The sequence below is a fragment of the Homo sapiens genome, chromosome 10 (assembly GCF_000001405.40).
Source record: "Homo sapiens chromosome 10, GRCh38.p14 Primary Assembly".
Classification (NCBI taxonomy): domain Eukaryota; kingdom Metazoa; phylum Chordata; class Mammalia; order Primates; family Hominidae; genus Homo; species Homo sapiens.
This window is the reverse complement of record NC_000010.11, coordinates 44258054-44279477: the sequence shown is the minus strand read 5'-3', so window position 1 is coordinate 44279477 and position 21424 is coordinate 44258054. Positions and strand designations below refer to the sequence as shown.

At 45.1% G+C, this 21424-nt stretch overlaps 5 annotated features.

Moving 5' to 3' along the window:
* Nucleotides 14889-14948: an enhancer, noted in NCBI's record as "active region_3311". NCBI's record gives its function as "activates an Ori minimal core promoter by ATAC-STARR-seq in GM12878 lymphoblastoid cells {active_cell/tissue: GM12878}" and the evidence as "EXISTENCE:reporter gene assay evidence [ECO:0000049][PMID:35858748]".
* Nucleotides 16641-18825: an enhancer, noted in NCBI's record as "VISTA enhancer hs2509". NCBI's record gives its function as "enhancer in: limb[3/6]" and the evidence as "EXISTENCE:transgenic organism evidence [ECO:0001131][PMID:17130149]".
* Nucleotides 17273-17402: an enhancer, noted in NCBI's record as "active region_3310". NCBI's record gives its function as "activates an Ori minimal core promoter by ATAC-STARR-seq in GM12878 lymphoblastoid cells {active_cell/tissue: GM12878}" and the evidence as "EXISTENCE:reporter gene assay evidence [ECO:0000049][PMID:35858748]".
* Nucleotides 17503-17582: an enhancer, noted in NCBI's record as "active region_3309". NCBI's record gives its function as "activates an Ori minimal core promoter by ATAC-STARR-seq in GM12878 lymphoblastoid cells {active_cell/tissue: GM12878}" and the evidence as "EXISTENCE:reporter gene assay evidence [ECO:0000049][PMID:35858748]".
* Nucleotides 18593-18652: an enhancer, noted in NCBI's record as "active region_3308". NCBI's record gives its function as "activates an Ori minimal core promoter by ATAC-STARR-seq in GM12878 lymphoblastoid cells {active_cell/tissue: GM12878}" and the evidence as "EXISTENCE:reporter gene assay evidence [ECO:0000049][PMID:35858748]".

Below are 21424 nucleotides of genomic sequence, written 5' to 3'. Positions count from 1 at the left end.
AACGAGAGAAGATAAGCCACTTGGGTGAATGATTCACATTTGTCTTTATAATATTTTGATTATTTTTGTAAGACTTATTACCACAAAGATTAAGCAATGCAAAAAATTAATAAAAAAAAAAGACAGGCATAAAAGCTGCCTGCTTTATTAATCATATGAGTGATTACCAGGGCACAGCTGTCTGAAATCTTGGTCCTTGGAGGCCAAGGGTCTATGAAACCACTCCATTGTAATTTAGCTGCAGATGGCATTGAGTATGCCCTTTTGAGACACCACAGACATGGAGGTGAGTCATGGCCAGCCTCAGGGAGCATGGATGCAGGGACAGGAGCCACGAGCAGAGCTTTTTCACAGAGGGGAACAGGAGCTGGCGGAAGCCCTGTCACAGTGGCAGCCCTGAGCATCCCCAGAGCCTGGGAGCAGCAGAGCCCTCCCTCCTCCATGGGGGAGCCTACGACCTCCTGGCAGGCCCAGGTGCAGGCCACTGTGGTGGGCGGGTGGGTTAGGGGTGTGCGGCAGAGCATGGAGAGCCCAGCCAGTGGAGATATATGGTCTCCAGGCCCCTACTTCCTGTAAAATCTTTACCCTTCTATCTTCCCCAGCAACACACAGGCTCCAGCTCTCAGCCCAGCCTGCATTGCAGGCTTCTGCTGCAGATGCCTCCCCACCAAACTTCAGGGAAACCTGAGCTCACATTCAATCCTTGCACTAGGACCCAGACCTCCCACTCCCTTTTGGCTCCACTTGCGGGTACACACACACCTGAGGGGTGAGGGTTATTTCACACTCTCTTCCTAATCATTTCATTTCCCTGTGAATTCCTCCATGGCCCTTTCCTGACAGTCTTACTTAGGCACATCACTGGATATCCTCCAGGGTAACTGCAGTTTATGTGTAGGCTGAGGCTTTGGATCCTTACATGCCCGTGTTTTCGGTTAAACGTCACATTGATTAAATCAGCATTTCTCCAGGTGAAATGTATTCTCTACAATTTTCATGAGATAGGCCCTCTGCTTAGACAAAAAGCCAACAGTAAGAGATTTTAGGCCAATTTTTGCATTTCAACACTAGCTTGAATTCCAGCCTTAACACAAACTTTAATATTTATTTATTTTTTAGTATACTTTAAGTTCTGTGATACATGTGCAGAACATGCAAGTTTGTTACATAGGTATACACATGCCACAGTGGTTTGCTGCACCCATCAACCTGTCATCTACATTAGGTATTTCTCCTAATGCAAATTGAATAAAAATACCCACCTACCCCCTGACAGGCTCCAGTGTGTGACGTTTCCCTCCCTGTGTCCATGTGTCCTCATTGTTCAACTCCCACTTATGACTGAGAACATGCGGTGTTTGGTTTTCTGTGCTTGTGATAGTTTGCTGAGAATGATGGCTTCCAGCTTCATCCATGTCCCTGCAAAGGACATGAACTCGGCCGGGCGCAGTGGTTCACGCCTGTAATCCCAGCACTTTGTGGGGCTGAGGCGGGTGGATCATGAGGTCAGGAAATCGAGACCATCCTGGCTAACACGGTGAAACCCCGTCTCTACTAAAAATACAAAACATTAGCCAGGCGTGGTGGCAGGCGCCTATAGTCCCAGCTACTGGGGAGGCTGAGGCAGGAGAATGGCGTGAACCTGGGAGGCGGAGCTTGCATTGAGCTGAGATAGCGCCACTGCACTCCAGCCTGGGCAACAGTGCGAGACTGTGTCTCAAAACAACAACAACAAAAAAAGGACATGAACTCATCCTTCTTTATGGCTGCATAGTATTCCATGGTGTATATGTGCCACATTTTACTTATCTAATCAATCATTGATGGGCATTTGTGTTGGCTTCAAGTCTTTGCTATTCTAAATAGTGCTGCAATAAACATACAAGTGCATGTATCTTTATAGTAGACTGATTTATAATGCTTTGGGTATATACCCAGTAATGGGATTGCTGGGTCAAATGGTATTTCTGGTTCTAGATCCTTGAGGAATTGCCACACTGTCTTCCACAATGGTCGAGCTAATTTACACTCCCACAAACAGTGTAAAAGTGTTACTATTTCTCCACATTCTCCCCAGCACCTGTTGTTTCCTGACTTTTTAATGATCGCCATTCTAACTGGTGTGAGATAGTATCTCATTGTGGTTTTGATCTGCATTCCTCTAATGACCAGTGATGATGAGCTTTTTTTCATATGTTTGTTGACTGCATAAATATCTTCTTTTGAGAAGTGTCTGTTCATATCCTTTGCCCACTTTTTGATGGGGTTATTTTTTCTTGTAAATATGTTTAAGTTCCTTGTAGATTTTGGATATTAGCCCTTTGTCAGATGGATAGATTGCAAAATTTTTCTCCCATTCTGTAGGTTGCCTGTTCACTCTGATTAGAGTTTCTTTTGCTGTGTAGAAGCTCTTTAGTTTAATTAGATCCCATGTCAATTTTGGCTTTTCTTGCCTTTGCTTTTAGTGTTTTCATCACAAAGTCTCTGCCCATGCCTATGTCCTGAATGATATTGTCTAGGTTTTCTTCTGGGGTTTTTATAGTTTTAGGTCTTACGTTTAAGTCTTTAATCCATCTTGAGTTAATTTTTGTATAAGGTGTATGGAAGGGGTCCTGCTTCAGTTTTCTGCATATGGCTAGCCAGTTTTCCCAACACCATTTATTAAATAGGGAATCATTTCCCCATTGCTTGTTTTTGTCAGGTTTGTCAAAGATCAGATGGTTGTAGATATGTGGAGTTATTTCTGAGGCCTCTGTTCTCTTCCATTTGTCTATATCTCTGTTTTGGTACCAGTACCATGCTGTTTTGGTTACTGTAGCCTTGTAGTATAGTTTGAAGTCAGGTGGCATGATGCCTCCAGCTTTGTTCTTTTTGCTTAGGAATGCCTTGGCAATGCAGGCTCCTTTTTGGTTCCATGTGAAATTTAATGTAGTCTCTTCTAATTCTGTGGAGAAAGTCAATGGTAGCTTGATTGGGAGAGCATTGAATCTATAAATTACTTTGGGATGTATGGCCATTTTCAAGATATTGATTCTTCCTATCCATGAGCATGGAAGTTTTTTGCATTTGTTTGTGTCCTCTCTTATTTCCTTTGGCAGTGGTTTGTAGTTCTCGTTGAAGAGGTCCTTCACATCCCTTGTAAGTTGGATTCCTAGGTATTTTATTCTCTTTGTAGCAATTGTGAATGAGAGTTCACTCATGATTTGGCTTTCTGTTTGTCTATTATTGGTGTATAGGAATGCTTCTGATTTTTGCACTTCGATTTTATATCTTGAGACTTTGCTGAAGTTGCTTAGTAGTTTAAGGAGACTTTGGGCTGAGACACTGGGGTTTTCTAAATATACAATCATGCCATCTGCAAATAGAGACAATTTGACTTCCTCTCTTCCTATTTGAATGACTTTATTTCTTTCTCTTGCCTGATTGGCCTGGCCAGAACTTCTAATACTATGTTGAATAGGAGTGGTGAGAGAGGGCATCCTTGTCTTGCACTGGTTTTCAAGGGGAATGTTTCCAGCTTTTGCCCATTCAGTATGATATTGGCTGTGGGTTTGTCATCAATAGCTCTTATATTTTGAGATACGTCCCATCAATACCTAATTTATTGAGAGTTTTTAGCATGAAGGGATGTTGAATTTTATCAAAGGCCTTTTCTTCATCTATTGAGATAATCATGTGGTTTTTGTCATTGGTTCTGTTTATGTGATGGATTATGTTTATTGACTTGTGTATGTCTCCCACTATTATTGTGTGGAAGCCTAAATCTGTTTGCAGATCTCTAAGAACTTGCTTTATGAATCTGGGTGCTCTTGTATTGGGTGCATATATATTTAGGATAGTTAGCTCTTCTTGTTGCCTTGATCCCTTTACCATTATATAATGCCCTTATTTGTCTCTTTTGATCTTTATTGGTTTAAAGTCTCCTTTATCAGAGACCAGGATTGCAACTCCTGCTTTTTTTCGCTTTCCATTTGCTTGTTAAATATTCCTTCATCCCTTTATTTTGAGCCTGTATGTGTCTTTGCACGTGAGATGGGTCTCCTGAATACAGCATGCTGATGGGTCTTGACTCTTTATCCAATTTGCCAGTCTGTATCTTTTAGGTGGGGGCATTTGACCTATTTACATTTAAGGTTAAAATTGTTATGTGTGAATTTGATCATGTCATTATGATGTTAGCTGGTTATTTTGCCCGTTAGTTGATGCAGCTTCTTCATAGTGTCGATGGTCTTTACAATTTGGTATGTTTTTGCTGTGGCTAGTACCTGTTTTTCCTTTCCATATTTAGAGCTTCCTTCAGGAGCTCTTGTAGGGCAGGCCTAGTGGTGACAAAATTTCTCAGCATTTTCTTGTCTGTAACAGGTTTTATTTCTCCTTTACTTCTGAATCTTAGTTTGGCTGGATATGAAATTCTAGGTTGAAAATTCTTTTCTTTGAGAATGCACATGTACATTAAAACTTAAAGTATAATAATAATAAAATTTAAAAGAATGTTGAATATTGGCCCCCACTCTGGCTTGTTGGGTTTCTGCAGAGAGCTTCGCTGTTAGCCTCATGGGCTTCCCTTTGTGGGTCACCTGACCTTTCTCTCTGGCTGCCCTTAACATTTTTTCTTTTTTTTTTTTTTTTTTTTTTTTTTTTTAGAAAACATAGGTAAATTACTTTATACCCTGGATGTGGGAAAAACTTTTCTTGTTACAATTCAAAATCCAAAAGCAACAAAGGAAAATATTGATAAATTTGATTAAGAAAAATTTAAAAATATTGCATTTCAAAATATCACCATAAGCAAAATTAAAAGATAAATGACAAACTAGAAAAAAAATGCAATGTAGGATACAAAACGTTAAAATAGCCCTGTTTTATACACAGCATTTAAAATTTGAGGTTAAAAAAAGCCGATAGCACTGTTTTATTTTTAAATGTTAGAGATATGAACAGACAGTTGACACAAAAAATAGATGAAAATGGCTCCTAATATCTCAACTGCACTCTTAATAAGAGAATTTTTTTTTATTATTATTATACTTTAAGTTTTAGGGTACATGTGCACAATGTGCAGGTTAGTTACATATGTATACCTGTGCCATGCTGGTGTGCTGCACCCATTAACTCGTCATTTAGCATTAGGTATATCTCCTAAAGCTATCCCTCCCCACTCCCCCCACCCCACAACAGTCCCCAGAGTGTGATGTTCCCCTTCCTCTGTCCATGTGTTCTCATTGTTCAATTCCCACCTATGAGTGAGAACATGCGGTGTTTGGTTTTTTGTTCTTGCGATAGTTTACTGAGAATGATGATTTCCAATTTCATCCATGTCCCTACAAAGGACATGAACTCATCATTTTTTATGGCTGCATAGTATTCCATGGTGTATATGTGCCACATTTTCTTAATCCAGTCTATCGTTGTTGGACATTTGGGTTGGTTCCAAGTCTTTGCTATTGTGAATAGTGCCACAATAAACATACGTGTGCATGTGTCTTTATAGCAGCGTGATTTATAATGCTTTGGGTATATACCCAGTAATGGGATGGCTGGATCAAATGGTATTTCTAGTTCTAGATCCCTGAGGAATCGCCACACTGACTTCCACAAGGGTTGAACGAGTTTACAGTCCCACCAACAGTGTAATAGTGTTCCTATTTCTCCACATCCTCTCCAGCACCTGTTGTTTCCTGACTTTTTAATGATTGCCATTCTAACTGGTGTGAGATGGTATCTCATTGTGGTTTTGATTTGCATTTCTCTGATGGCCAGTGATGGTGAGCATTTTTTCGTATGTTTTTTTGCTGCATAAATGTCTTCTTTTGAGAAGTGTCTGTTCATGTCCTTTGCCCACTTTCTGATGGGGTTGTTTGTTTTTTTCTTGTAAATTTGTTTGAGTTCATTATAGATTCTGGATATTAGCCCTTTGTCAGATGAGTAGGTTGCGAAAATTTTCTCCCATTTTGTAGGTTGCCTGTTCACTCTGATGATAGTTTCTTTTGCTGTGCAGAAGCTCTTTAGTTTAATTAGATCCCATTTGTCAATTTTGGCTTTTGTTGCCATTCCTTTTGGTGTTTTAGACATGAAGTCCTTGCCCATGCCTATGTCCTGAATGGTAATGCCTAGGTTTCCTTCTAGGGTTTTTATGGTTTTAGGTCTAACATTTAAGTCTTTAATCCATCTTGAACTAATTTTTGTATAAGGTGTAAGGAAGGGATCCAGTTTCAGCTTTCTACATATGGCTAGCCAGTTTTCCCAGCACCATTAATTAAATAGGGAATCGTTTCTCCATTTCTTGTTTTTCTCAGGTTTGCCAAAGATCAGATAGCTGTAGATATGCGGCGTTATTTCTGAGAGCTCTGTTCTGTTCCATTGATCTATATCTCTGTTTTGGTACCAGTACCATGCTGCTTTGGTTACTGTAGCCTTGTAGTATAGTTTGAAGTCAGGTAGCGTGATGCCTCCAGCTTTGTTCTTTTGGCTTAGGATTGACTGGGCGATGCGGGCTCTTTTTTGGTTCCATATGAACTTTAAAGTAGTTTTTTCCAATTCTGTGAAGAAAGTCATTGGTAGCTTGATGGGGATGGCATTGAATCTATAAATTACCTTGGGCAGTATGGCCATTTTCACAATATTGATTCTTCCTACCCATGAGCATGGAATGTTCTTCCATTTGTTTGTATCCTCTTTTATTTCATTGAGCAGTGGTTTGTAGTTCTCCTTGAAGAGGTCCTTCACATCCCTTGTAAGTTGGATTCCTAGGTATTTTATTGTCTTTGAAGTGATTGTGAATGGGAGTTCACTCATGATTTGGCTCTCTGTTTGTCTGTTATTGGTGTATAAGAATGCTTGTGATTTTTGTACATTGATTTTGTATCCTGAGAGTGCTGAAGTTGCTTATCAGCTTAAGGAGATTTTGGGCTGAGACAATGGGGTTTTCTAGATATACAATGATGTCATCTGCAAACAGGGACAATTTGACTTCCTCTTTTCCTAATTGAATACCCTTTATTTCCTTCTCCTGCCTGATTGCCCTGGCCAGAACTTCCAACACTATGTTGAATAGGAGTGGTGAGAGAGGGCATCCCTGTCTTGTGCCAGTTTTCAAAGGGAATGCTTCCAGTTTTTGCCCATTCAGTATGATATTGGCTGTGGGTTTGTCATAGATAGCTCTTATTATTTTGAGATATGTCCCATCAATACCTAATTTATTGAGAGTTTTTAGCATGAAGCGTTGTTGAATTTTGTCAAAGGCCTTTTCTGCATCTATTGAGATAATCATGTGGTTTTTGTCTTTGGTTCTGTTTATATGCTGGATTACATTTATTGATTTGCATATATTGAACCAACCTTGCATCCCAGGGATGAAGCCCATTTGATCATGGTGGATAAGCTTTTTGATGTGCTGCTGGTTTAGGTTTGCCAGTATTTTATTGAGGATTTTTGCATCAATGTTCATCAAGGATATTGGTCTAAAATTCTCTTTTTTGGTTGTGTCTCTGCCAGGCTTTGGTATCAGGATGATGCTGGCCTCATAAAATGAGTTAGGGAGGATTCCCTCTTTTTCTATTGATTGGAATAGTTTCAGAAGGAATGGTACCAGTTCCTCCTCATACCTCTGGTAGAATTCGGCTGTGAATCCATCTGGTCCTGGACTCTTTTTTGTTGGTAAGCTATTGATTATTGCCACAATTTCAGAGCCTGTTATTGGTCTATTCAGAGATTCAACTTCTTCCTAGTTTAGTCTTGGGAGGGTGTATGTGTCCAGGAATTTACCCATTTCTTCTAGATTTTCTAGTTTATTTGCGTAGCGGTGTTTGTAGTATTCTCTGATGGTAGTTTGTATTTCTGTGGGATCAGTGGTGATATCCCCTTTATCATTTTTTATTTTGTCTATTTGATTCTTCTCTCTTTTCTTCTTTATTAGTCTTGCTAGTGGTCTATCAATTTTGTTGATCCTTTCAAAAAACCAGCTCCTGGATTCATTAATTTTTTGAAGGGTTTTTTGTGTCTCTATTTCCTTCAGTTCTGCTCTGATTTTAGCTATTTCTTGCCTTCTGCTAGCTTTTGAATGTGTTTGCTCTTGCTTTTCTAGTTCTTTTAATTGTGACATTAGGGTGTCAATTTTGGATCTTTCCTGCTTTCTCTTGTGGGCATTTAGTGCTATAAGTTTCCCTCTACACACTGCTTTGAATGTGTCCCAGAGATTCTGGTATGTTTTGTCTTTGTTCTCGTTGGTTTCAAAGAACATCTTTATTTCTGCCTTCATTTCATTATGTACCCAGTAGTCATTCAGGAGCAGGTTGTTCAGTTTCCATGTAGTTGAGCAGTTTTGAATGAGTTTCTTAATCCTGAGTTCTAGTTTGATTGCACTGTGGTCTGAGAGACAGTTTGTTATAGGGTCTGTTCTTTTACATTTGCTGAGGAGTGCTTTACTTCCAACTATGTGGTCAATTTTGGAATAGGTGTGGTGTGGTGCTGAAAAAAATGTATATTCTGTTGATTTGGGGTGGAGAGTTCTGTAGATGTCTATTAGGTCTGCTTGGTGCAGAGCTGAGTTCAATTCCTGGGCATCCTTGTTAAATTTCTGTCTCATTGATCTGTCTAGTGTTGACAGTGGGGTGTTAAAGTCTCCTATTATTATTGTGTGGGAGTCTAAGTCTCTTTGTAGGTCACTAAGGACTTGCTTTATGAATCTGGGTGTTCCTGTATTGGGTGCATATATATTTAGGATAGTTAGCTCTTCTTGTTGAATTGATCCCTTTACCATTATGTAATGGCCTTCTCTGTCTCTTTTGATCTTTGTTGGTTGAAAGTCTGTTTTATCCGAGACTAGGATTGCAACCCCTGCCCTTTTTTGTTTTCCATTTGCTTGGTAGATCTTCCTCCACCCTTTTATTTTGAGTCTATGTGTGTCTCTGCACGTGAGATGGGTTTCCTGAATACAGCACACTGATGGGTCTTGACTCTTTATCGAGTTTTCCAGTCTGTGTCTTTTAATTGGGGCATTTAGCCCATTTACATTTAAGATTAATATTGTCATGTGTGAATATGATCCTGTCATTATGATGTTAGCTGGTTATTTTGCTCGTTAGTTGATGCAGTTTCTTCCTGGCCTCGATGGTCTTTACAATTTGGCATGATTTTGCAGTGGCTGGTACCAGTTGTTCCTTTCCATGTTTAGTGTTTCCTTCAGGAGCTCTTTTAGGGCAGGCCTGATGGTGACAAAATCTCTCAGCATTTGCTTCTCTATAAAGTATTTTATTTCTCCTTCACTTATGAAGCTTAGTTTGGCTGTATATGAAATTCTGGGTTGAAAATTCTTTTCTTTAAGAATGTTGAATATTGGCCCCCACTCTCTTCTGGCTTGTAGAGTTTCTGCCGAGAGATCTGCTGTTAGTCTGATGGGCTTCCCTTTGTGGGTAACCCGACCTTTCTCTCTGGCTGCCCTTAACATTTTTTCCTTTATTTCAATTTTGGTGAATCTGAGAATTATGTGTCTTGGAGTTGCTCTTCTCGAGGAGTATCTTTGTGGCATTCTCTGTATTTCCTGAATTTGAATGTTGGCCTGTCTTGCTAGATTGGGGAAGTTCTCCTGGATAATATCCTGCAGAGTGTTTTCCAACTTGGTTCCATTCTCCCCGTCACTTTCGGGTACACCAATCAGACATATATTTGGTCTTTTCACATAGTCCCATATTTCTTGGAGGCTTTGTTCATTTCTTTTTATTCTTTTTTCTCTAAACTTCCCTTCTCACTTCATTTCATTCATTTCATCTTCCATCACTGATACCCTTTCTTCCAGTTGATCGCATCGGCTCCTGAGGCTTCTGCATTCTTCAGGTGGTTCTCAAGCCTTGGCTTTCAGCTCTATCAGCTCCTTTAAGCACTTGTCTGTATTGGTTATTCTAGTTATACATTCGTCTAAATTTTTTTCAAAGTTTTCAACTTCTTTGCCTTTGGTTTGAATTTCCTCCTGCAGCTCGGAGTAGTTTGATTATCTGAAGCCTTCTTCTCTCAACTTGTCAAAGTCATTCTCCATCCAGCTTTGTTCAGTTGCTGGTGAGGAGCTGCGTTCCTTTGGAGGAGGAGAGGCACTCTGCTTTTTAGAGTTTCCAGTTTTTCTGCTCTGTTTTTTCCCCATCTTTGTGGTTTTATCTACTTTTGGTCTTTGATGATGGTGATGTACAGATGGGTTTTTGGTGTGGATGTCCTTTCTGTTTGTTAGTTTTCCTTCTAACAGACAGGACCCTCAGCTGCAGGTCTGTTGGAGTTTGCTAGAGGTCCACTTCAGACACTGTTTGCCTGGGTATCAGCAGTGGTGGTTGTAGAACAGTGGATTTTTGTGAACCGCGAATGCTGCTGTCTGATCATTCCTCTGGAAGTCTTGTCTCAGAGGAGTACCCAGCCATGTGAGGTGTCAGTCTGCTCCTACTGGGGGTTGCCTCCCAGTTAGCCTGCTAAGGGGTCAGGGGTCAGGGACCCACTTGAGGAGGCAGTCTGCCTGTTCTCAGATCTCCAGCTGCATGCTGAGAGAACCACTGTTCTCTTCAAAGCTGTCAGACAGGGACATTTAAGTCTGCAGAGGTTACTGCTATCTTTTTGTTTGTCTGTGCCCTGCCCGCAGAGGTGGAGCCTACAGAGGCAGGCAGGCCTCCTTGAGCTGTGGTGGGCTCCACCCAGTTCGAGCTTCCCAGCTGCTTTGTTTACCTAAGCAAACCTGGGCAATGGCAGGCGCCCCTCCCCCAGCGTCGCTGCAGCCTTGCAGTTTGATCTCAGACTGCTGTGCTAGCAATCAGAGAGACTCTGTTGGCCTAGGACTCTCCGAGTCAGGTGCGGGATATAATCTCCTGGTGCACCGTTTTTTAAGCCTGCCGGAAAAGCACAGTATTAGGGTGGGAGTGACCTGATTTTCCAGGTGCCGTCTGTCACCCCTTTCTTTGACTAGGAAAGGGAACTCCCTGACCCCTTGCGCTTCCCGAGTGAGGCAATGCCTCGCCCTGCTTCGGCTCACGCATGGTGCACTGCACCCACTGTCCTGCGCCCACTGTCTGGCACTCCCTAGTGAGATGAACCCGGAACCTCAGATGGAAATGCAGAAATCACCCGTCTTCTGCGTTGCTCATGCTGGGAGCTGTAGACCGGAGCTGTTCCTATTTGGCCATTTTGGCTCCCGATTCACATTTTTTCTTTCATTTCAACCTTGGTGAATCTGACAATTATGTGTCTTGGGGTTGCTCTTCTCGAGGAGTACCTTTGTGGTTTTCTCTGTATTTCCTGAATTTGAATGGTGGCCTGTCTTGCTAGGTTGGGGAAGTTCTCCTGGATAATATCCTGAAGAGTGTTCTCCAGCTTAGTTCCATTCTCCCCATCACTTTCAGGTACACCAATCAAACGTAGTGGTCTTTTCACATAGTGCCATATTTCTTGGAGGCTTTGTTTGTTCCTTTTCATTCTTTTTTCTCTAATCTTGTCTTCATGCTTTATTTCATTAAGTTGATCTTCAATGTCTGATATCCTTTCTTTGAGTTGATTGATTTGGCTATTGATACTTGTGTGTGCTTCACAAAGTTCTCGTGCTGTGTTTTTCAGCTCCATCAAGTCATTTATATTCTTCTCTAAGCTGGTTATTCCAGTTAGCAATTCCTCTAACCTTTTATCAAGTTTCTTAGCTTCCTTGCTTTGGGTTAGAATATGCTCCTTTAGCTTGGAGGAGTTTGTTATTACCCACCTTCTGAAGCCTACTTTTGTCAATTCATCAAACTCATTCTCTGTCAAGTTTTCTTCCCTTGTTGGTGAGTTGTTATCCTTTGGAGCAGAAGAGGCATTCTGATTTTTGGAATTTTCTGCCTTTTTGTGCTGGTTTTTCCTCATCTTTGTGGATTTATCTACCTTTGTTCTTTGATGCTGGTGACCTTCGGATGGGGTTTTTGTGTGGACGTCCTTTTTGTTGATGTTGATGCTATTCCTTTTTGTTTGTCAGTTTTCCTTCTCACAGTCCGGTCCCTCTGCTGCAGGTCTACTGGAGTTTGCCAGAGGTCCCCTCCAGACCCTGTTTTCCTGGGTATCACCAGCAGAGGCTGCAGAACGGCAAAGATTACTGCCTGTTCCTTTCTCTGGAAGCTTTGTCCCAGAGGGGCACCTGCTAGATGCCAGCTGGAGCTCTCCTGTGTGAGGTATCTGTCGACCCCTGCTGGGAGATGTCTTCCAGTTAGGAGGCACAGGGTTCAGGGACACACTTGAGGAGGCAGCCTGTCCCTTAGCAGAGTTTGAGTGCTGTGCTGGGAGATCTGCTGCTGTCTTCAGAGCTGGCAGGAACATTTAAGTCTGCTGAAGCTGCATGCACAGCTGCCCTTTCCTATTTATTTTTTAGAGACAGGATCCTGTTGTCACCCAGGCTGGAATGCAGTGGCAGGAACAGAACTCACTGCAGCCTCAACCTTCTGGGCTCAAGCAATCCTCCCTTTTCAGCCTTCCGAATAGTTAGGACCAGAGATGTGCATCACCACACTCAGCTATTTTTAAATTTGTCTGGTAGAGATGGGGTCTCACTGTGTTGTCCAGGCACAACCTTTCTCTTTCCTCTTTCTAAAGGCATCCTGCAATGAGATACTATGTAGCCAGTAAAAGGAATGAAATACTTTTCCCATAGTAGCAGATGGAATGTTAATTTAAAAACAGAGTTGCACAACAGTATGCTTCCAAGGATCCTATGTCCTCCGTCTCCTCCTGGGAGTGCAACTCTGGTGTCTTGGTTTCTAGGCCCTGGGTGTTGGGTCCTGGGGTAGCATCTCCAGGAAGGCCCTGTGGTTGTCTGGGCAGCTTGTGTGATGCTGGGCTGGGGTTGGTCTTCAGAGCTGGCCTGGGTGACTGCTTCTTGATTTTCTCATTTACTGGTTCACACAGGTGCAATCAGACAGTCGTCAGCCCATGCCCTTCCCAGGCCACGTTAAGTGCAGGTGGAACAGGCCATGGTGGGAAGGGGCTTTACTCACTGTATTAGTTCCTGCAGGTGCTGTAATAGATGGCCACAAACCCAGCAGCTTTATCAGGACTTTATTATCTTACAGGCCTGGAATTTAGAAGTCTGAAGTCAAGGTGTTGGCCTGGCTGTGCTCTTGCCTGAGGCTCTAGGGAAAGGACTTCCTGGCCTCTTCCAGCTTCTGGCAACTTCTGTGGTGCTCCTGGGCTGTGGCCATGTCTCTCCAAGGCCTTCTCTGTCTTCACAGGGCCTTGTCCCCTGTGCAGGTCTGGATCAAAACTCCCTTGGCTTCCCTCTTATAGGATACATGGCATTTAGGGCCCTGGATGACCTAGGATACGTTCCTCCTCTCAAGGTCCTTAATTACATCTTTTGCTATATAAGGTAATATTCTCAGGTCTTGGGGTTTAGATGAGAATATAACTTTGGGGGGTTACTATTCAACCCACTACACCCCTTGATGTAACTGAGGACAGACGTCAGATATTGGATATTAGAGGAGTGTCAGAAACACAACCCACACAAACAATTGCCTTGAAACACACAAGTGCAGCAGTGAGTAGATCCCAGGTAAGTTTTGTTTCTCTTTGCCAGGTGCTAAGTCACCTGGACTGAATTACTCCATGCAGCTCTGACCCATGTGTGTGCCTGTTGGGCCAATTCAAGATCTGTTTGCTGGGTTTGTCCCCAGAGATTCCTCAGGCCAAAGACCCACAGTACTGTTTCAAGGAGTGTGTAGATATGAGGGTGCCAGAGTGTGAGAGTGAAAGGCCTGGGCTTGAGTTCTGGTTCAACCACTTACTAGGTAGGCCTCTGTCCTTGGACAAGACAACTTGCTGCTTGACTTTTTAATCTGTAAAGAAGACAAGAATAATCACTACCTTTTAGGATTGTTGTGAGGATTAAGTGATAAAATGCATGCACATTCTACCTTAACTCAGCACAACGCCTTCAGGTGAGGATTCATGGCATGGCCCAGGAGAGGAGGGCTGCAGACTGGTTGCCTCCTCCTGACACCTGCTGTCCATGGAGCAGTCTGGGTCAAGTCTCAGCTCCCACTCAGTTTCCAAGCTCAGTTCAGGAAGTTCCAGGGATTCAGTGGGCACCTCCTATCTTCTTCTACCCAATCTGAGAAAGTGGCAAAAATTGGGAGTCTCTGTGCCGAAGGTGAGAAACTTGCCTCCAACAGAAGACAGATGGCCCATGATGCAAGATGATGTCTTTCCTGTGTTTCTTGTGTCCCTAGTACACAGACACCATGACCTACAGAAGAAGAGGCCAGAGCAGGGTGTTGCAGAGACATCAGCTCTCCATCTGCACCCAGATCTAAGGGTCAGTGCACTGAGCAGGAGCAGCTCCCTTTGGACTCAGATTGAGGGATCACAGGTGTTCAAGATCCTGGGTGGCACTTTGGGAGGCTGAGGCGGGCAGATCACCTGAGGTCAGGAGTTTAAGACCAGCCTGGCCAACATGGCAAAACCCGTTTCTACTATAATAAAAATACAAATTAGCCAGGTGTGGTGGCACGCACCTGTAGTCTCAGCTACTTGGGAGGCTGAAGCATGAGAATCACTTGAACCTGGGAGGCAGAGGTTGCAGTGAGCCAAGATTGTGCCACTGCACTCCAGTCTGGGAGACAGAGCAAGACGCTGTCTCAAAAAGAAAGAAAAAAAAAAAGGTACTGTGTTAGCCCCAACCCAAGTGCATTCCCTGTCCCCAAGCACTTTTGTCTTGGGACACTTGGCCATCAGACTTGCTATCCTCACCATCATCATTTTGAAAATGCAACCATGTTAATAGACTCCATGGGAAATGCAGTCTAGGCAGCCTAAGAGGTAGCCCAGCTCCTTTTGACTCGCACCTCTGGCTCAGAGGCCTTCTGGGAGGGGACTCTTCCTTTCTACCACAACCTGCGTTTGCTCATGTCCCCATCCATCCTGCTTCACGCAGGCCTCCAGCCAAAGCTAAGATGAAATGAAACCAACCTGACTGGTGTCAGTACACAAAACCTTTGGGGATTTTTACTAAATCCAGCTGGGATCTGTGACTTATTTATGAACTCATATGGCTCTTTCACTTCTCTGTCTTTTGCCAAATTGCTGACACGTTCTTAAATTATCCAGTTTGTTTTTTCTCTTCTTCTCTCCTTCTTGGGAAGATAAAGTCACAGGCATGTGGTCCTCCTCTGTTTATAACAGTGATGGCTCTCTGAGCCACCGTCACCCACCCAGACCACAGCTCTTAGGAACACAAAAGGCAGAGCTTGAATAGGGGGAGTTAAAGGTGTCTTCATTTCATCTGTGTAGCCATGTAGGAGAAAATTTTGTGGGAATTAAAGAAATCCTGAGCCAGCATTTGTGCTTGTATCGGATGATCTCTCATGGACCAAGCAGAGCCAGAAAACTCCCAGTTGCTTCAAACGCTGACATGATGGCAAATATCGAAGACTGGTTAATCCAAGAGCCAAGAACTGTTTTATGGCTCAGAAGTGGAATGTAGCTTTGGTGACAGTGAGCTTTTCCTGTTAAAAGTGTCCCAAAAGATTTGCCTGTGGGTTGTCATCTGAACTCCACCCATGTCCTCCTCCCCCACCCCATCTGGAAGATGCTTACTAATGCATCCCAAATTTAGCACTCCTGCAAGGCTCAGACTGGGGCTGATTAATGCATCATAACTTTCAAATTAAAGGCAGAAATGCTCCATCTTCCTCCTGTATCTACACAATTACTCTGTAGATTGCTTGCAAGGGGACATCAAAAGGGGAAAAAAAAGCACCAACCTACGACATTGTAGTTGGGATTGTCACTTCCTAAAATAAAATGCTCATTTGCCTTACGTAAGTCCATTATCACCCTGTGCAAATTCACTCTAGATGTTAGAATGATTAGCCATTGTTCATCTCCACATTGGGTGTATTAACACGGTCCCACTACACGCACTGTCCAGACTGTGTTGGTTTAAAGGAAGTCCACAAGTTCTTGAACACGCTCTTCAATAGGCAGACCCCTTCCCTGACATGTGGGTGGCCTTAGTGACTAACTTCTGACAAACAGAGAAAAGGCAGAAGTGATGGGGTGCAACTTCAGGGAATGAGTGTATTCATTTTCTGTTGCTGCATGATGAATTACCAGGAACTTATTCTAAACTTCGCAAATGTATTATATCACAGTTCTCTAGATCACAGGTGCCGTATGGGTGGTCTTCTGCTCAGGGTCCTACAAGGCTGAAATCAAAGTGCTGGCCAGGACTGAGATCTCAGCTGAGGTCTGGGGCCCTCTGCCAAGCTTAACAGGGGCTAGGAACACTCTCAGCTCCTAGAGGCTGCTCTTGGGGTCTTGGCACCTGGAACCCTCCATAATATGACCCTTCGCTTCTTCAAGGTCAGCAGGAACTTCCTTGGCTTCAAATCCTTCTGATCCATTTTAAAGGATCCCCTGATTAGATCAGGCCCACCTAGGATAATACTTCTGATTAACCCAATGTCTACTGATCACGGATCTTGATTGTAATATTCCTTCTGCTGTATAATGTAACATAATCATGGGGGTGAGATCGCACCATTTGTGTAAGTCCAGCTCACACTCAAGGGAAGGGGATTGCACAGGGTGTGTACGCCAGGGGATGGAATGTAGGGAACCATCTCAGAAGTCATCAGGATCTCCTGCTCTGGAGAAAGCCAGCTGCCATAAAGTGAGGACACTCAAGCAGCCCTGTGGAGAAGTCTACATGGATGGAAGGAGGTCTCCTATTAGCAGTCATCCAGAACCCAAGGCCTCCAGCCAACAGCCATGAGGGAAGCCATCCTGAGAGCAGGTCCTCCAGCCCCAGTTGAGCCTGCAGATGATCCAGCCCCAGCCGACGTCCTCACTGCAACCTCTTGAGAAACCAGAGCCACAACCACCCAAGTGAGCTGCTCCCAGATTCCTGATCCTCAAAGCCTGTGTGAGATAATCAATTTTTTCTGTTTGGAGATGCTATTTTCTAAGGCAACTGGTTGCACAACAATAAATAACTAATACACAGCCTTTATTCACTAAAAGAGTAATTAATAACCATGGGAAAAAGGTGCATCGAAACATGAGAAGAGAAATCCCAGCAAAGGTGCCTTCTTCCCCTCTCTATCTTCACAGGCAGAGCTCAACTCTGGGCCTTGTCACACCCCCAGTTATGCTGTGGTCACCACTGGATCCCTTCCACCTCTGTAAGGGCGCTGAGCCATCCTCCCAAACCTCCAGTCTCAACCCAGTGCCCTGCTGCTTCATCCCAAGTTTCTCCCCAGTGTTTTCCCTGGTTCAGACTCATAACTCATTCTACTCCAAGTGCCAAGCTCTCCAGCCTGAATGCCCTTCTCTGGACTCATTGCTTTTCTTGCAGTGGCCTTGTCCCTGCTTGTGCCTTCAAGCTGGGCTGTGAGCTGGGGCTGGCTTGAAGGCCACTCTCAGCCTCCAAGGGGGTGCAGCTGGGGCTTCTCGGCCCTGGGCTTAAGGCCATGGCTACAGTCAAGCCATTTCCCAGTAGGAAGTAAAGCACTTAAATCTGGGTTGTTTTCTTCTCAAGCTGTAAACTCAGCACTAGATGACAAATCGCAGCACCCCCACATCCTGCCTGCCTGGCCTCCCACGCCTCACTCACGTGGCAATCTCCAGATAGTGATGGGGATTCCCGAGGGCATGCAGGGGCCAGATGCCCACTTGTGCCCTGTGCCTGGGTGAGTGAGGTGTGCAAGGTGGGCCTCTGTTCTGCTGCCAGCCCAGCCAATGATGGCAAGGACAGAGGGTTCAAAGCTCTGACCCCCATTGTAAACAGGGGGCAGAGGAGCCGCCCACCTGAGCAGCATCAGATCCATGCAAAGTGCCAGGTGGAGGTGAAACACAGCCAGCGACACGACTGTTGGTATTTCGGGTCAACTCACCTTGAGCTGGAGGGAGCAGTCAGCCTCCAAGAAGGCACGACGTGACACAGTCCAGACCCCTTGCCCGCCTCTGCTGGCCGTGAGTAATTGGCACTAAACACGGGATGCGTCTGGGTTTAATCTAATCTGAGCTCAATTACTTGACTCCGCTGATGGAAACCCGCCCAGGCTCCAGTGCTTCAGTGAAGAGGGCGCTGAGGTCGCCTGCTCACTGCAGCCTGGGGTCCTGTTCCTTCTGCTGGTGCAGGTGTGCAGCTCTGATACGCAGCGCCTGATGGGACTGCAGGGACAACTCCAAGAGCAGGGTTCTCTAGCTCACTAGGCTTCTGCACTCATTGTTCACCTGAACCCAGGGCACACGTGGGTGTGGGAGGGATGCAGGGGAGACCATGTCCTCAAGGTTTGGTGCCAAGATGGGGGCCCCAAGGCACACACACCTTGGTTGGTCCCTCCCTCATCACTGCTATGGAACAGGGCTTAGCCCACGCACCGGGAGAGGCTCCCATAGAAGCCCTGGGAGAGACCCAAGTCCTGGGAGAGACCCAAGTCCTGGCTCTGAGCCACCCTCTGCTCCCCACTTTCCTTCCCATCTGCGTTTGATTTTCTGAGGCCAGCCTGTATCTCACAGTGGGAGCCATTCCTCTCACTGTACACAGACGCCCTGGGCCTGGCTGGGGAGTCCCTAATCCCACCCCATGAGCCTCTTTCTGCCTTGTCAGGCCCACTTCTAGCCCATGCTGTTGAGGCATCTCTGCTCCATCCAGTCCGCCCTGCACTCAGCAGCTCTTGGTGTGGAACCCATCCAAGTGCGCCCCGGGGCTGTTTGGATGTGTGGGTTCCCGAGTCGGCCTGCCCTCAGCACCCAGCTGCACAGGCTTGGTGGTGGCGGCAGGGTGAGAGCCCTCCCCACTGGGTCTCCTCTGTATCTATGGGAATGGGCTGCGGCTGCCTACAGAGGAGCTCAGCCCATCCCCATCTCAGGGCTCAGGCTGGGTCTGCGGGGCGCAGGCAGGAGAGTATAGGCCAGGGCTTTCCAGCAGGAGGTGAGAAACTCCCACAAGGACACGCTCTGCTGCTTCTGGGCCAAATAGGCACATCTGGGGAGGAATGGGCCTGCTCGCTGGGAATTCCCCCTGAATTCCCTCCGGATGTCACACCTCTGCTCCCCCTGACCCGAGGTTGCCCCCAACACCTCCACTCTGATTTGGAGATTTAAAAGGATGTGCAGTGAAAGGATGATAAAATCCTCTATCTTATTTATTTTTCTCTCAAATTTCTAACTTGATGGCTAGTAAGTTGTCAGTGAGAGAAAGAGAAAATGTATGGTAGACATAATTTTGAATAACAAGTTGAAGCAATTGGGAGCCATCACTGTCATTTGGGACAGCCTTAAGCTCTCTCAATTAGCTGTGTAATTTGGGATAATTTACTCAACCTCTCTGTTCCTCAGTTTCCTCATCAGCAAAATGTGGAGATAACAGCGCCTACCTAATTGGGATGCTGTGAGGATTGAGAGAATACACAGAAACAGCTTAGAACACTACCTCAATTGTTCTACACACACCTGAGTTGGCAAGTGTGTGAAGTAACCTCCTCCGAGTCCTGGACTGTGGACAGTGATGCCACCTTTTGGCACAACTCCCCTAGAATTTAAGGAGACCAAGACATTGTGAAAACCAAGTGTCTCCCACCTTGCCAGGACCTATAAAGTCAAGGGCGGTGCTGGCATATTTTGTTCCTGTGACAGGGGCTGATGAGGTCACTGTGGGAATCACAGCAAGTCCAAGTCCATGAGGCTTAGGGAGAAGGCTGTGCATCACCCTCATGGGCCGGGAGCTCCAGGAACAGCTTTCCCAGATTTACGCTGAGGGAGTCCTGAATCCAGGAAGGAGGTTCCATGGCCACCTGGCACCATGTGTCAATCTCCCAGGTCTGTGAGTACTCTGGTCTCAGCCAGCTGAGGAAGCCGTGGGTCAACATGAAAATGCACACCCAGGAAGCCATCTGCCCCAAGGAGTGAGTAGCTGCTGGACTAGTCCTCTCCTACACATGGCTGATACCAGGTGATCTGTGAATCTGGCGTCACATGCTCCCTCAATCCCGGAGCCATCCTGTGAAAGAAATGGGCCAAGGTTCAAAGGCCATCTACAGAGAGGACCTCCCCCTGGGCCCCAGGAGCCCTGTGCTCTCTGGCAGGCACAACCTAGTACTCATTTCAAAGGTGTGGAAACAGTCTGGGAAGTTATGTGACTTTTCATCCCCATGAGCGGGGGATCTGTTGACAAACCTGTTTTTCCTCTCATCTGTGCTCTCTTTGTTGGTTGATGTCGAGGGGCAGGGTGACTCTTTGGTCCCCTTCCCCCATTCCAAAGATCCCCTGCAGGAAGAGGAGAGGAAACAGCATATGCTGTCTCAGTGCAGGCTGCTATTACAAAACTATCATAGACTGGGAGGCTTAAACAACAAACATTTATTTTTCACTGTTCTGGAGGTTGGAAAGTACAAGACAAAGGCACCAGCAGTTTGGTGTCTGGTGAAGACCTGCTCCCTGGTTCACAGATGGCGCCTTCTGGCTGTGTCTCCACATGGTGGAAGAGATGACCAAGTCCCCTGGGGTCCCTTTATTAAGGGCACTAATCCCATTCATGAGGATTCTTCCCTCACGACCTAATCATTTCCCAATGGCCCCACCTTCAAATACCATGGCATTAATACCTTGGGCATTAGGATTTTAACATATGAATTTGAGGGATACAAACATTGGGTACATACCACATGCTGACACCATTTGCCATGATGCAGTCACACTCAGTACCTCCCAAGTATCATCTGCATACACCTGGCTGAGGAGAAAACAATTAGAAAGGTAACACCAGGGGCCCTCCTGGTGATGGAACTGCTCTGTATCTCGACTGTGGCAGTCACATGATTGGACACATGATAAAATTGCATGGAACCAAACACACACACACAAATGAGTGCATGTGAGCCTGATGAAATTTGAATAAAGTCGATCCTTGGATCAATGTGAATTTCTGGTTATGACAGCTATTCTTATGTAAGATGTTACCACTAGGGGAAACTGGAGAATCTCTGTAATATTTCTTACCACTGCATGTGAACCTACAACTCTCTAAAAATATTTTTTAATTGAAAAAAATTAATTCTCACACTCCAAAGTGCATTTAATTTAAGCTACTTTAGTAAATAGGCAGCTGAAGCCCAGGAGGGGCTCCTCCGTCTTTGCTGCTGTCCCCTCCTGGCACCTGTGGCTGCAGGTGAGTGCCAGGAGGAGCATTTCAACAGGGGGAGCCCCGGGGAGAGGGCTGGGCTGGGACTTGCTAATGCTGGTCTTCAAGGAGAACCTAGGAGTGAGTCAGGGCTGGGAGTGAGTCTGCAGGAGGAGCCCTCTGGAGGCCCAGGGGTACCCATGTGGGAGCTGTCTCTCAGCTGGGCAGAGACCTGGCTCCAGTCCCATGGGGGCAGAAGAGGTGGACAGCACAATCTCCTTCAGTCCAGCTGGTGGCCAGTTCTCTAAACCC